We start from the raw sequence: 14,568 nt of genomic DNA, 5'->3' as shown, positions 1-14,568 counted from the left end.
TTCTCCTAGAATGTGTTTCTGAAAACATTAAAACACAAATAGAAATTCTAGAACTGAAAAAAAATACAACGAATGAAGTTAAGAACTTGACAGTTTTCATAAAACTTCCTGTCTCTCCTTTCTCCCTAAGGCCAATATGACCCCCATGCTGTGGATCACATTCCCTCGCGTGGAATAATCCCAGCGCACACAGTGTCTGGAAAGGAAAACCTCAAAATTCATGGAATATCTGAAAAATACTCAAAAGGGCATGGACTCAGTAGTGGATCAAAACCAGCCCTGTGTTCAAGGCTGATCTCATGTCAACTAAAACATTTAAAAGCAAGCTTTGAAATAATCAAACTGTTGGAAAAAAAAAAAAACCCTTCACTGTATTACAGAGTAAAGCTCAAAAATATTTCTGGAATACAAAAATATCCAGCAACCAAGAAGTTAAACTTCACAATATCTGACATTCAATTAAACATACCAGAAAAATGCAACATATAATGAGAAAATTAATAGTAACATGCCCATAAATTTGGTAAACAAAGACATTAAAACAGTTATAACTATGTCCCATGCCCTCAAAAAGACATAGAATAGATTGAACATACTAAATAAAGACACAGAAGATATTAAAAAGATCCAAATCAAACTTTTTGAGATGAGAAATATAATGCCTGAGAATTTTTTAATGCACTGGTGGGATCGATAGCATGTTATTGCAGAAGAAAAGACTGAAGATATCCAAGATAACCCTTGAACTTAAAAATAGAAAATAAAAATGTTTTTATTTTTTATTCATTCAGTGTTTTTTCTCTTAATATTTTATTTTATCAACTAATGAAAATAAATAAAAAATAAAATAGTAAGAGAAAAAAAAACACCGAATGAATGAAGAGCATTGAGGAAAACATGAAGCAGACAAATATACATGTAGTGTCCCCAAAGAAAGAAGTCAGACAAAAGAAAATAGTTGAAAAAATAATGTCCACATTTTTTCTAAATTTTCTGAAAACTATGACTGTGCAGGCACAAGAGGCTCAACAAACATCAAGCTCAAGAAACATAAACAAAACTACACCAAGTCACATCATAATCAAATTGCTTAAAGCCAGCGATTAAAGGAAACCTTAAGACAGGGCAAGAAAAAGAAACAGAGTGTATGTATAGAGAAGCAAAGATAAGAATGACATCAGACTTCTCATCAGAAATGATGCAAACAGGAAGACAGTGACACAGTATTTTTAAGCGCTCAAAGAAAAGACCGTCAACCTAGAATCCTATACCCAGCAAAGAAAAAAAAAAAGGTTCTTTCAAAAACGAAAGCAACGCAGCCCGGGTGGTATCAGTGGACACTTAGAAGCAGAAAGAAGGTGTCCCTGCCACACACACACCTCTGATCAGGGAATCTGGACTTCTAGCCCACCTGATCATGCTTCTGCAGTAATAAGACAGCACCTCTTTCCTATGCCAGTATGGTGCCCATTAAAATATAATATATATAAGACCCAGAGTCTCTTAACATAATACCCAAAATGTCTAGGTTTCAATCAAAAATCACTCACTGTTACTTTATGCAAATAACTTCCTCTCCTAATCCACAAAGTCAACTAAAGCCAAACATACGAGCTCCATCAACTTCCCATTACCCCAACTACCTTCTCTCCCTGAGGCCGACATCCCTGAGCTGTGGATCCCTCTCCTTCATGGTGCTTAGGATGGGGATACGGTCAGTCCCTAACACCTATGTCCCCCACGACTGCAGCTCTGTTGCTCAACTGGGTCCTTTCCCATCATTATTGGAACATTTTTCAGGTCTCTTCTAAACTTAAAAACAACAAACAATAAAAATCCTTTCTCAGACCCACTTCCTCCTCCAGCTGCTGCTCTCTCTTTCACAGACAGTGTTCTTGAAAGAGTTGTGTATAGTCACATTTTTTCCATTTCTTCACTTTCCACTAACCCTATTCCAACCTCCCTTCCACTCATATCACATCACTAACCAAAATAGCTCTAAGCCACCAGTGACCTCTGTGTCACCAAATCCACAGGACATTATCAGCTCTCAGGTTACCTGACCTCTCCCCGCTAGTTGGTCCACTTGACCCGCACCCCTTCCTGAAGCACGGTTCCCTCAGCCTCCGCCGTGCCACACTCCTCCTGTTTTCTTCCTCTGCCTGTTTTCTTCTTCCACCCTCGGCTGGCTCTGTCTCCTTCAGCCCACCATGAAGTATGGAAGTTGTTCCCACGCACTTCTCAAATCACTCTTCCTGTCTAATCCCCTGCTCCTTCCTAGGCGACCCAAACACATGCTGTGTAGGAATGGCTTTAATTACTCTCACCTCCCTGATGGCTTCCAGAGGGAGGCTGCACTCACGTTGAGCTGTCCTTCACAACTCCTTTTGAATGATAAAATGGAAACTTAAACTCAACAGGTCAAAGACTAAACTCAGGAGCCCACCTGATCTCTTTGTCCAGTATTTTATACCCATGAATAGCTCATGCCAGAAACCTTTGATACCTCCCTGAGGCCCACACAGCTTTAAAATTTTCCCTCCTAAATACCCCTCACAACTATGCACCTTGCTCAGCCTCCACTGCCACCCAACTCGTCCACACTTGACAGTGTCTCGTTCAGGTCCTGTGACAGCCTGCAGTCCCCCCACTCCCACTTATCCCCCAGGATAAGGCTGAGGCCCTGCACCCCCATACCACACTCATCCTTAGGCTAAGGCTGAGGTCCTGTGCTCCCCACACCCATGCTTATCCCCCAGGCTAAGGCCCAAAAGAATGTCTCAGAGTGCAGATCAGAGCACATCACCCAAACACCCCTGAAAGCCACTCGTGTTTTAACAAGCAACAGACGTACCATGTGAAGCCCTGTGTGGCCTGGCCCCCACTCCAGTCTTCACGACGCTCTGCATGTCAGTGGAGCTAAGCTCCTTGCTCCACCAGCCCCCAGCCATGCACAGGCTCTTTCCCATCCTTCGGATTCCACGGTCCTGCTCCCTGTACAAACTTCAGCAGAAGCCCCGATATTTCTGATGCCTTTTCTGACCCCAGTCAAGGTAAGGCTCCCCTGTGGCAGATTCACTAAGAGCTGGGTTTCTTTCCTGCAAAGCCCTCCTTTATGTCTGCAGTGTGGTTCACGGCAGGGATGTCTGGCCAGCCTGTGTCACCCACTGGACCATGAGCACTGGGGGTTCCTCTGACCAGGGAGGTCCCAGGACTTCACTCAAAGCCCAGCACACAAAATACACTAAAAATACTTGCTTACTAAACAAACCAACCAAATAAACTAGCTAACTTGCCTCCTGTAATCGCAACAAGACATTTAGTGGTGATAAAACCGATATTCTTCCCAAACAGTAAGGCAATTAGATTGCTTGGAGGTTGGGCATTACTCAGCATCTCTATAATACGGCGCAAAGTTTTCCATATTTTGTTAATCAAAACATATCCTAGGAGACCTGGCAGCAGGCCATGGCTACGTGCCTGGCAGATAACATACGAGCACCTGCTTGCATGACACCCCTGGTATCCATCCACGGGGGCATAGGACGTGCCATGACTACACACCGGGGCCTGAGGAACACAAAGCTCAGCTCGGGGTGGTCAGAAGTTTCCTCTCCGACCAGCAAGGTTCATCTGGACGTCGTACGGATGGAATTGTTCTCAGTTCCCACTGAGTCCACAAAGACCTAATGCACACAAGGAGAGGAAAGTACGAGACTTCGGTCATTTATCATGTGTCTAGGTAACCACAATTTCCTAAATCTTGATAAAATTCAGGGTTATAATGTCATTCTTAATGCAATCCTCCTGGCTGTGTTCTAAAGCTGTGAAAACTGCCGGTCTGCTGAGTTAGCACTGTAAGACAGGAGGCCTTTCTCCTGAAGTACCCGGCCCAGGTGACCAAAAGTTTGTGCCTCGATGACGACTGGTCTAGATTTGCACCTCCCCTCTGACTGAAACAGTGCCATGCACGTGGTAGAAGCTCAATAAATACATTTTCTTTCAGTGGGAAGGCATGGCTTTCGTCCTGTAGCGACTGTGGATGGGTTTCTATCTTCAGAGGCGGTGGCATGTGGCCTCCAGCTATTGGGGAGTTTATCTCCAAATGGCATTCTGTAATCACACCAAGGCTGGGCCAGCTCCGTCTCGCCAAATTGCCCTGAGCCCGTTGTCAAGGGCACTGGCGCTGGGCCTAGTTTTCTGTTTGCTAATCTGTTGTTGAAGTTTCGTGCCCCATGGAAAATCTCTTCACCTACCCGCGACCCCTGGCTTCCTCATCTGTAAGGTGAGCGTGGGATTAGATGATCCTCTCTAAGTTCCATTATGCTATCGTTTCAATCCTGAATGATTGTGCTGGGGAACCGAGCCTTAACGCACACGAACAGGGCTACCAGCTGCCCGGCTCAGAACAGGATCCAGGAAACGGGACCCAGAGGGCACCGAGCTGTCCCCAGGGAGGATTCCGTTCTGAAAGTGCTTGAAGGCTTAGCAATCTCAAACAATGCAATCAAGCCGTGTGTTCAGAAGAAGAGCGCTTGTAATAAAACAAACATAGATGTCAGGCGTAAGAGCCATTCACTGTCAGGGGCCACCCAGTCTTGTGAGGAGCAGGAGGTGAATCGCGTGCTCCAGGGCTCCAGAGCGAGCTGGGAGGGCAGAGACCAAGATGAGGTGGATGCCAGCCCCAGAGACATCCCAGACCTGGGCAGAGCAGAGGAAATCATCACCCCCAACCGCTCACTTCACCCTGCAAATGTGGAAATCAGGCCCAGACAGGTTTAAAAACCAAAAACAAAAAGCAGGGGTCACGTTGCAGAGCGTTTAAAGGGTTTGGACTAAAATTCAAATATCTTGATGTCTAGGCTTTGTGATGTTGCCTCCAGGAGAGGAAGGGGATGCAGAAACCCAGGTGCAGGCCCAGGTGGGGCCAGAGCCCAGATGGAGGCCCAGGTGGAGGCCCAGGTAGGGCCAGAGTCCAGTTCTGCATGTGACCGAGCCAGACCCCTCCTCAGGTAGCTGATACTCCCAACTTCTGCACTGCCAGTCAGGCTCAGTGTGAGGCTGGTGGGGACACATCAAAAACCAGTTTCTCAGGTCAAAAGCGTTTTAAACACATAGAAGTCAGAAATGGTCACAAGAATCCACTGTCCCGTCATTACTATTTCTCTTCACCGTTGTGTCCTGGAGGCCTCGTTCCTGGGTAAACATGGACTGGAATAGGAGGATCCTGGGACTGGAAAGAGACAGTATCTGCCCATAGCTGGGAGCTCAGATAGGGCAAGGCTGCAAACACCACCAGTTTCCCCAGTTTCCCAGTTTCCCCAGTTTCCCCAGGAGGCCAGATTCTGTGCTACCTGACGTCAAGAGCGTGCAAAGAGTTCACCCACGACTGGTCCTGGTGCGAGCGAACCTTCAGTTTGGCCGTGTTGGCAGCTGCACCTGCCCCATATGGACCTCGCACAGCAGGGTCCTGGCTGACTCAGCCAGCGGGAGGACGCGGGCGAAGGAAGCTTTCTTCTCAGGGCTCAGCGCAGGTCAGGGCTAACACTCACTGCCTTCCTCCTGCACTGAAGCTTTTGGACTCCCCCCTGGTTTAGAAGGACAGCCATCAGCACCGAGGAGCCAGTCCTTCTTCGGGGTCTGCACTCAGCCCCCAGCCCCTTCGGCGCTGGTTGGTGCCACGCGGTTGCCACGGCCAAGCATGCGTCCTCGCCAGCCGCACTCACTAGCTCTGTGACATCGCACGAGGCACTAAATAAATGAAAGGGGGTGAAAATGGAGGAGCTAGACAAAGGCGTCCCTGAGATCTGGCTCTTCCCCAAATCCCACGATCCTGCTACAATTAGGAACCATACAACTTGTCACCCAAGCTGGGACCACGTGAGAATGAAATGATTAATAAACACTGCAGGACAACAGGCATGCACCTACAGCCACCCGAATTATTAATACAATCAGCAGCATCAACGCAACTAATGCCCAGGTGCGGAAGTCGTTGATATTGTACATTTTGCAGAACTATGTGCATTTAGGAGATATTCCATACAAAATGAAACATTGAAAGGCAGTTGCTCCCTCTGATAACATTTTTTTCCCCAAAAGACCATCATGTTTCCTTCTAGATTGATTAACAGCTGAGTAAAGATTCAGGTTTTGCCTGTTTTCCCCAAGAGCGCTGTACTTGATTATTTTCTTCTGTAGGCACGCAGTGTTTTCACAGAATCGCCTCACTAACCGTGGGCTTCTCATTGCCACTTTCCTTTAAACATTTCATATCAGAGACTTCGCCACTGGCAAAGGACCCTGAGAAAAAATGCACGGATAATACATCAAAGGTTAAACCATCCTAAATTAATAGAGAAGTTTGTTACATAAAATTTTAATTTTGCTCAATTATATATAAAATGCACAGGCTTGTGCTTATGGCCTCAGAGTACTCAGTTCTTCATAAATTAAAAGATGAACTTCTTGAGTTAAATTAAGAAATGATTTCAGAAACTTGAGCAAATCATTTTCAAAAGCATAAATAAATGAGAGTTGATTTCTACACCTGGAGAGGCAGAAACTGTCTCATTCTTTTTTTATTGTTAAAAACTGTTCCTGGGAACTGACAGATAATACACACTCAATAAATATGTATCTGTGTGTGTGTGTGTGTGTGTGTGTGTGTGTGTATATACATATATATATATATATATATATATATATATATATATATATATATATATATATATATTTGAGACAGGGTCTCGCTCATGTCACCCAGGCTGGAATGCAATGGTGGAATCTCGGCTCACTGCACCCTCTGCCTCCTATGTTCAAGTAATTCTTCAGCCTCAGCCTCAGCCTCCCAAGTAGCTGGGATAATAGTCATGCACCACCACGCCCAGTTAATTTTTTTTTTTTTTTTTAAACAGAGTCTTGCTCTGTCACCTAGGCTGGAGTGCAGTGGTGCAATCTCGACTCACTGCAACCTCCACCTCCTGGGTTCAAGCGATTCTCCTGCCTCAGCCTCCTGAGTAGCTGGGATTATAGGTGCATGCCACCACGCTCGGCTAATCTTTGTATTTTTAGTAGAGATGGGGTTTCACCATGTTGGTCAGGCTGGTCTCGAACTCCTGACCTCGTGATCCACCCACCTCGGCCTCCCAAAATGCTGGGATTATAGTGCCCGGCCAATTTTCCTATTTTTAGTACAGAGGGGGTTTCGCTATGTTGGCCAGGCTGGTCTGGAACTCCTGACCTCAAGTGATCTGCCTGCCTCAGCCTCTCAAATTGCTGGGATTACAGGCGTGCCCATTCAATATTTCTATATGTGGATGTTTCCAAGAAAATAAAAAACTGAGTTAAGCGATGGGGGTGAAGTCAGGAATGAAATCTGTGTTAATACTGTAAAAAGTAGAGGTAAGCATCAACTATTACCTTTTTGGATGTACAAATGAAACGATGTTAATTTCTTGAAAATCAACAATATATAAGCATGTATAATCATATGACTCAAATCATCCTGTTTTTTAAATTCACTGTTACACATTATTATCATTCGCTTATGATCAAATACTATCTCTTTAGATTAAAGCTCAAACTTTTGGTCTCAGGATCCCTATGCACCCTTAAAAATTATTGATTTTTTTTAAAAAACTTGTATTTAGGTAGGTTATATCTACTTATATTGACCACATTAGAGATTTTATGTTTTATAATATTTAGTTATTAATTCATTTTGAAATAATAATAATGATTCCATTATAGGTTAACACAAATAACTTTTTTAAGAAACTTTTTTAAAGAAAAAATAAGCAGAGTGAAAGTCTTTTATATTTTTTGCAAATCTCTTTAATGTCTGGCTTCAGATAAGATGGCTGGATAGGTACTTTTGCATTTAATCTGCTGTGATTCCATTTTGGATCGAAATACATGAAGAAAACCTGTGTCAAGCAGCTGTGTAGTTGAAGAAGAGAGAATAATTTTAGTAGTCTTTCTAGATAATTGTGAATAGCCTTTTTCACTACACTAAAAATCTAATTTCTTAAAGATTCGTCGCAATCTGGAATCTGAGATTGCACTAGTGAACTTTGCACACTGTTACATTAAAATATCTTCATCCCTCTTGCACTTTGAAGGGATCTTTTACCATTTGTGATTTTGTAACATCATGCATCGGTCATTTGGAAAATAGTAGTTTGGAGTCACGCAGATATTCCAAATTTCGTTATACCGCTGTGGATTACACACACATTCTTAATACAGCCACGGTCTCATCCGTATGATCAAAATAGTTTTCGCCTCCTGGATTGTATACTAGGGTGTTAGGGGTGACGAGGCATCTCTGGAACAAACTTTTGAGAAGCCGCCCTCCGGCCTTGGGAAGCCTCGCCGGTGAGTTAGCGACTCTCAGCCACTAGAGGGAGCGCCACACCGTCAGAGCGGTCTTCATCCTTCTATGGGAAAAACCCAGCGATGGCTGTTCCTTTAAGAAGAAATTCAGAGGCATTTTACAGAAGAGAGAAGAACATTTAAAATGTAAATAACATTATACCAATAACCTTTTGCAATGTTGAACAAAAAGTTATATTAATCCTAATTTGGCTGTAGCTAGTCATAGTAATGGTATCCAACCAACAACATATGTATAGGTAATGGCAAGCTAGTTATTTACAGCAATGCTTACGATGAAAATAAGCTTTGAAAACCTGAAAAGGGGTGGATGAAAACAGAGAGCACTATAAATGTATTTATTACCACTGAACTGTACACTTAAAATGGTAAAGATGATAAATTATGTAAATATATTTTATCTCAATAAAAATATTAAAAGACACAGATAAAGACAGAGATATCTATCTACAGACTATCTACCTCCACAGAATATATTATAGATATCTGCACATCGTGATGGTTAATTTTTATGTGTCAGCTTGGCTAGGCCACTGTACCGAAATCTTTGATTATCATTATTCTTGACATTGTCATGAAGGCATTTTTAGGTGTGATTAGCATTTTCATCCATGGGCTTTGGGTCAAGCAAATTGCCCTCCACAGTGTGGATGGCCTCACACACTCAGCTGAAGGCCTTCAGACAAAAAGCCTGATCTCCCAGGATTCTGCCAGGGGCCGGCTTGAAGACTCAATGGCAACTCTTCCCTGGGTCTCCAGCCCACCCAGCACCTCCATAATTACATGAGCTATTCCTTAAGATAAATCTCCTTTTATGTTGGGTTTTGTGTTTTACATCCTGTTGGTCCTGTTTTTCTGGAGAATCCTGACATTCACACAAACATGCATGCACACACACACGAATACACAACACACACACACATGCATGCACGCACACGTGAATACACAACACACACAAACATGCAGCATGCACACACGAATACACAACACACAAACATGCATGCACGCACACGTGAATACACAACACACACAAACATGCATGCATGCATACATGAATACACAGCACACAAATATCCATGCATGCACACACAAACACAAAACACACAAACATGCATGCACACACACGAATACACAACACACACGCATGCATGCACAAATACACAGCACACACAAACATGCATGCATGTACACATGAATATGCCACATGAACATGCATGCATGCACACACAAATACACAACACACAAACTTGAATGCATGCACTCACAAATACACAACATGCATACACATGCATGCATGGACACACAAATACACTATACACACAAACTTGCATGCGTGCACAGACAAATACACAACACACACACAAACATGCATGCATGCACACATGAATATACAACACACACAAACATGCATGCAAGCACACATGAATAAACAACAGAAACATGCATGCACACATACATGAATACACAACACACACAAATACACCACACACATACACACACAAGAACTGAAGACTATCAGCTTGAAAAAGAAGGAAATAATAAAATCCCACAAAATGAATATGACAACAATCTTCTTCTTGACAGTCTCTGTGAGTCGCAAAAAATATTTTCAAGTGACAGCCTGACTTGGGAGTCAGAAATGAAACCTGGCTGAAAGAAGGGGAGGAATCCAGTCAGTGAGCTCCCCAGGGACCCCAAAGAGGCGTTCCCTGAGGGCGAGGATGCAGCTGGGTGCAAAGCTCAAATCTCCATGCAGCCCCCAGCATCACCAGGAGAACCCCAAACCCTGAGCCGCTTATGGGAGTCCCAGGCTGATGCTTCCCCACCACACCAGATGCCTGCAGAGGTCAATGTAAATATAACCTGGAAAAGCTACCTTATCGAATAGGAAAATTTATTCCTACAACTTAATTTTAATGATTTATTTTGTTTGACCCAATATATCCAAAAGATTACCATTTCAACTACATCACACATAAAATTACTAATAAAATCTTACTTTCGTCACACTAAACCTATGAACGTGGTGTGTATTTTACAGTCACAGCGCATGTTGATTCTGAGGAGCCTCATTTCAAATGCCGCAAGTCTCCCTGTGCCCAGCCAGTGGCTCAGCCCGGGAACTGAACCTGGGGGGGTCCTTTCTAAGGCAGAACCGTAAGCCAAAGTTCAACTCCTGGGAGTGGGATTAAGCCTGAGCAAGACAGGATTAGCAGAGCCAGGAAATCGACAGTGACCAGATCCACATGGGGGAAGGGAGCAGGCCAGGAAACCTCAGCGAGTGAGACATCATCTTTTAAAACATGGACCAAAAACAAGAGTAGAGAACAGTCGGTGAAATTATAAGAGCGTCATGTCCCCACCCTCCTCCTAGAGGTTCAGGAAAGTTAAATTCTTAATCTTACAAGCACTTTTATACAAATGAGCAACAGAAACATTGAGGTTACATTCCATAAACAGTCCCATATGGAGAGAATGAGAAATAAACTAACTCTACAGGTGGAATTGAAAACGGGACAAATTCAATTCTAATAAAGGATACAATTGCAAGGAATCAACCAGATGTGGATAAAATTGCAAAGAATCAACCAGATGTGGATAAGAATTGCGAGGAATCAATCAGATGTGGATAAAAGCACGAGTTCATTGAATGGGTTACCTTCTGAGAGGGATGGGAAACCAACTTCTTATACTAAAAACTGGGTAAACAAAAAGGAAAAATCAAGTTCTTTTTTCCAGCCTCCTGAATGTAAATGGTACCACTCGGTAACCAAGTGTAGGTGAGGAGTGGATCTCCTTATAAAACTATTCCAGCCAACATTTGAAAACAGGGTGAGGAGATAGTAGCACCTTCTCAGACTCCTTTTCTGTTTTCCTTATTAATTTCTCAAATTCAGTTTTTTTCTTTCTTAAACATTTCTGAACTATATAAGGTTTATTTTTGACATTCACTATATAGATGTGTGTTTTTTAACAACAGCTACTGGGAATTTGAATACCACTTAGGCCCTTTTGAACTATGATCCACAGGTATTGGTCCCTTGCTAATTGACAGGCATTTCTAACCCTAGTGCCTGTGTTATTTTATTTTCGTTTCCATGACTCTGTAATGGAGATTCTATTATTATTGTGATTTTACACATGAAGCGATGGAGGCTTTGAGAGGCTGGGCACGGTGGTTCACACCTGTACTTCCAGCACTTTGGGAGACTGAGGCGGGCCAATCGCTTGAGCTCAGGGGTTCGAGACTAGCCTGGGCAACATGCTGAGACGCTGTCTGTACAAAAAATACAAAAATTAGCCAGGGGTGGTGGTGCACACCTGTGGTCCCAGCTACCTGGGAGGCTGAGGTGGGAGAATCACTTGAACCCAGGAGGAAGTCAAGGCTGCGGTGAGCCAAGATCGCCCCACTGCATTCTAGCCTGGGCAACAGAGTGAGACCATATCTCATAAATAAATAAGTAGATTTTCAGGGTCATGTGTGGTATATGAGCAAGCCTGGAGTCCCAGCAAAGGATCTCAGCCTCAGAAGTGTGAGCCCCTTGCCACCTTCTTGCAGGAATGTCTGCTGGGAAGTGAATTCTACCCCCGCCCCCAGGTCATGGTGAAGCCCTAACTCCAGTGTGGCTGTGTCAGGAGATGGGCCCTACAAAGGGGTAATTTAGGCTAAAGGAGGCCCTGAGGATAGAGCCCTTGTGTGGTAGGATGGTGTCCTTGCAGGAGGGAGAGGACACAACAGAAGGTGGCCGTCTGCAAGCTGGGAAGAGAGCCCTCCTCAGGCACCGAGTCAGCCAGAATCTGGATCTGGGACTTGCAGCCTCCAGAACTGTGAGCGATAAATGCCTGCTGTTGAAGCCGCCCGGTCTGGGTGCTTCGCTACCACAGCCGCGCTGACTCGTGTAACACTCACAGCAAAGCTTGTTTGAGTCTTGTGACCTACAGCCTTAAATTGCTATTTAACTATTACAGGTGAGTGCTCTTGCACCCACATCTGTGTTTCTGACCCCCAGCCCCCGGAGCAGGGAGTAAGCCCTGTGTTTCTTTTGACCCCCGACAGTCTACTCCAGCACAGTGCTGTCAGCAGACGTGGTGGGAGGTCGATTGCTGCGTGAGGTCGTGTTTCCAGAATGTACAACACCGAGTGTTGAGCACGTACTCAAGTCCTGTGTGTTCCAACTTAGGGAAGAGTCTTCAGTGCCGCCTGCTCCGTCCCCTGTGTCTCCACCATGCCCAGCTGTGACTACGGCCCCTAAGAAGGCTGCACTGTGGCTGGACGCATGCAGAGGGCTTTTGGTGGCTTTTAGTCTACCCCATAGGCCATTGCTAGAAGTTTTGCTTCTTGGTCCCAAATGTTTATCTGCCAGAGATAAATCATAATAATGCTATAGAGCACGTGATGCATCCCTGTGAAATACGAGAACAGCAAATGCTGAAGAGGGCTGTTGGCCACTGATGATCCCAACTCTACATAAAGGTACATTCACAAAATTCATGGAAAGTTCAGAAGAAAGTTGGGCGAAAGTTTAAGACTTTCATGAGACCCTAATCAGACACTCACAATGGCCCACATCGATGGCAATCTACCTCACTCACAGGACATGTTTATTTTGGAAACATAAGAAAATGTGTTTCTGGGCATGCAGGCGAAGTGAGGGACAGCTCTAGGGAAGGAGCCAGGAAGCCACAGCCTCCGGCAGAAGCTGCCCGGCTGCATGCAGCCCTCGTGTCAGAATGGCTTTGATGTTTTTTAAAGGGTTGTAAAAACAAAACCACATAAAAACAAGACTATTTGACAAACACTGATAGGCCCACAGAACCTAAAATATTTACTATGTGGTTCTTCTCAAAAAGTTTGCAAACCCCTGGTCTAGATCACCCGAGTTACAGAGTGACTTTTTTTTTCCATTTTATGTGCAAAAAAGTTTAATTAAAATAGCAGCTTGGGCCAGCCATGGTGGCTCACGTCTGTAATCCCAACACTTTGGGAGGCCAAGCCGGGTGGATCACTTGAGGTCAGGAGTTTGAGGCCAGCCTGGCCAACATGGCAAAACCCCGTCTCCACTAAAAATACAAAAATTAGCCAGGCGTGGTAGCACATGCCTGTAGTTCCAGCTATTCAGGAGGCTGAGGCAGGAGAATCACTTGAACCCGGGAGGCGGAGGTTGCAGTGAGCTGAGATTGTACCACTGCATTCTAGCCTGGCAACAGAGCGAGACTCTAAAACAAACAAACAAAAAAATAGCAGCGTGTTTGCCTCAGGCAAAGCAGATACTTACGGAGGGACGGGAGTGTGTGGTAGGAGTGCCCGTGCAAGTTACAGTCCCTGACGAGCCCCCCAGCCCACTGACTAGTCACTTGGAAAGTGACATTCCTAAACTGGCTACAGAGTGACTCCGCTGTGGGATGCCTCTGGCCTGTCTGATAAACGGCTTTCCTTCTGCCAGTCTGCTTTGAGATCTGTGGACAGGTTTCAAACATGGCTCTAAAGCCCTGCAGTAACCCTGCAGCTTGACACGGAAAGTTTGCTATGCAATGAAGCAAAGTTTCAAATCACACGAGTGTGTGTTGGCTCGGCTCAGTGCCATGCCTCCACCCTCACAGAGCGCGCAGTATGAAGCCATAGGAACCCCCCCATCCACCTCACAAAAGCAAGGCTGTTCGCAAAATAGGGTTTTAAACCGATGAAGTCATAATGTCATAGATGAACTTACATTGGAAAGTCTAAACAGAAATGTGTAGAGCAGATGCTTCCAAAACATTTGAAAATGTGAGGAAAGACTGCAGTTTTCACTATGCTAATACGTATAAAAATATAATTTGAGGTTTTCCAAAAGGCTCAAAGCTCCTGTTGGTCGGTGGAATCCACTAGGCTCAGACGTTATGTTGACTTTTTTTTTTTTTTTTTTTTTGAGACCGTTTCACTCTGTCGCCCAGGCTGGAGTGCAGTGGTGCAATCACAGCTCACTGCAACCTCCATCTCCCGGGTTCAAGCGATTCTCCTGCCTCTGCTTCCCAAGTAGCTGGGATTACAGGCATGCCCCACCATACCCAGCTAATTTTGTACTTTTAGTAAAGACCGGGTTTCGCCATGTTGGCCAGACTGGTCTCGAACTCCTGGCCTCTAGGAATCCACCTGTCTCAGCCTCCCAACGTGCTGGGATTGCAGGTGTG

The 14,568-nt window shown here is 44.6% G+C and overlaps 2 annotated features.

Annotated features, from left to right (window-relative positions):
• Positions 884 to 6,568: an enhancer, noted in NCBI's record as "VISTA enhancer hs2514". NCBI's record gives its function as "enhancer in: midbrain (mesencephalon)[4/4]" and the evidence as "EXISTENCE:transgenic organism evidence [ECO:0001131][PMID:17130149]".
• Positions 8,369 to 8,573: a silencer, noted in NCBI's record as "fragment chr8:1978746-1978950 (GRCh37/hg19 assembly coordinates)". NCBI's record gives its function as "represses an EF-1alpha promoter that drives an FKBP-Casp9 reporter gene in an ReSE screen in K562 erythroleukemia cells {active_cell/tissue: K562}" and the evidence as "EXISTENCE:reporter gene assay evidence [ECO:0000049][PMID:32094911]".

Source organism: Homo sapiens, chromosome 8 (assembly GCF_000001405.40).
Source record: "Homo sapiens chromosome 8, GRCh38.p14 Primary Assembly".
Classification (NCBI taxonomy): Eukaryota; Metazoa; Chordata; class Mammalia; order Primates; family Hominidae; genus Homo; species Homo sapiens.
Note: the sequence above shows the minus strand (reverse complement) of the source record. Positions and strands in the feature narration are given on the sequence as shown.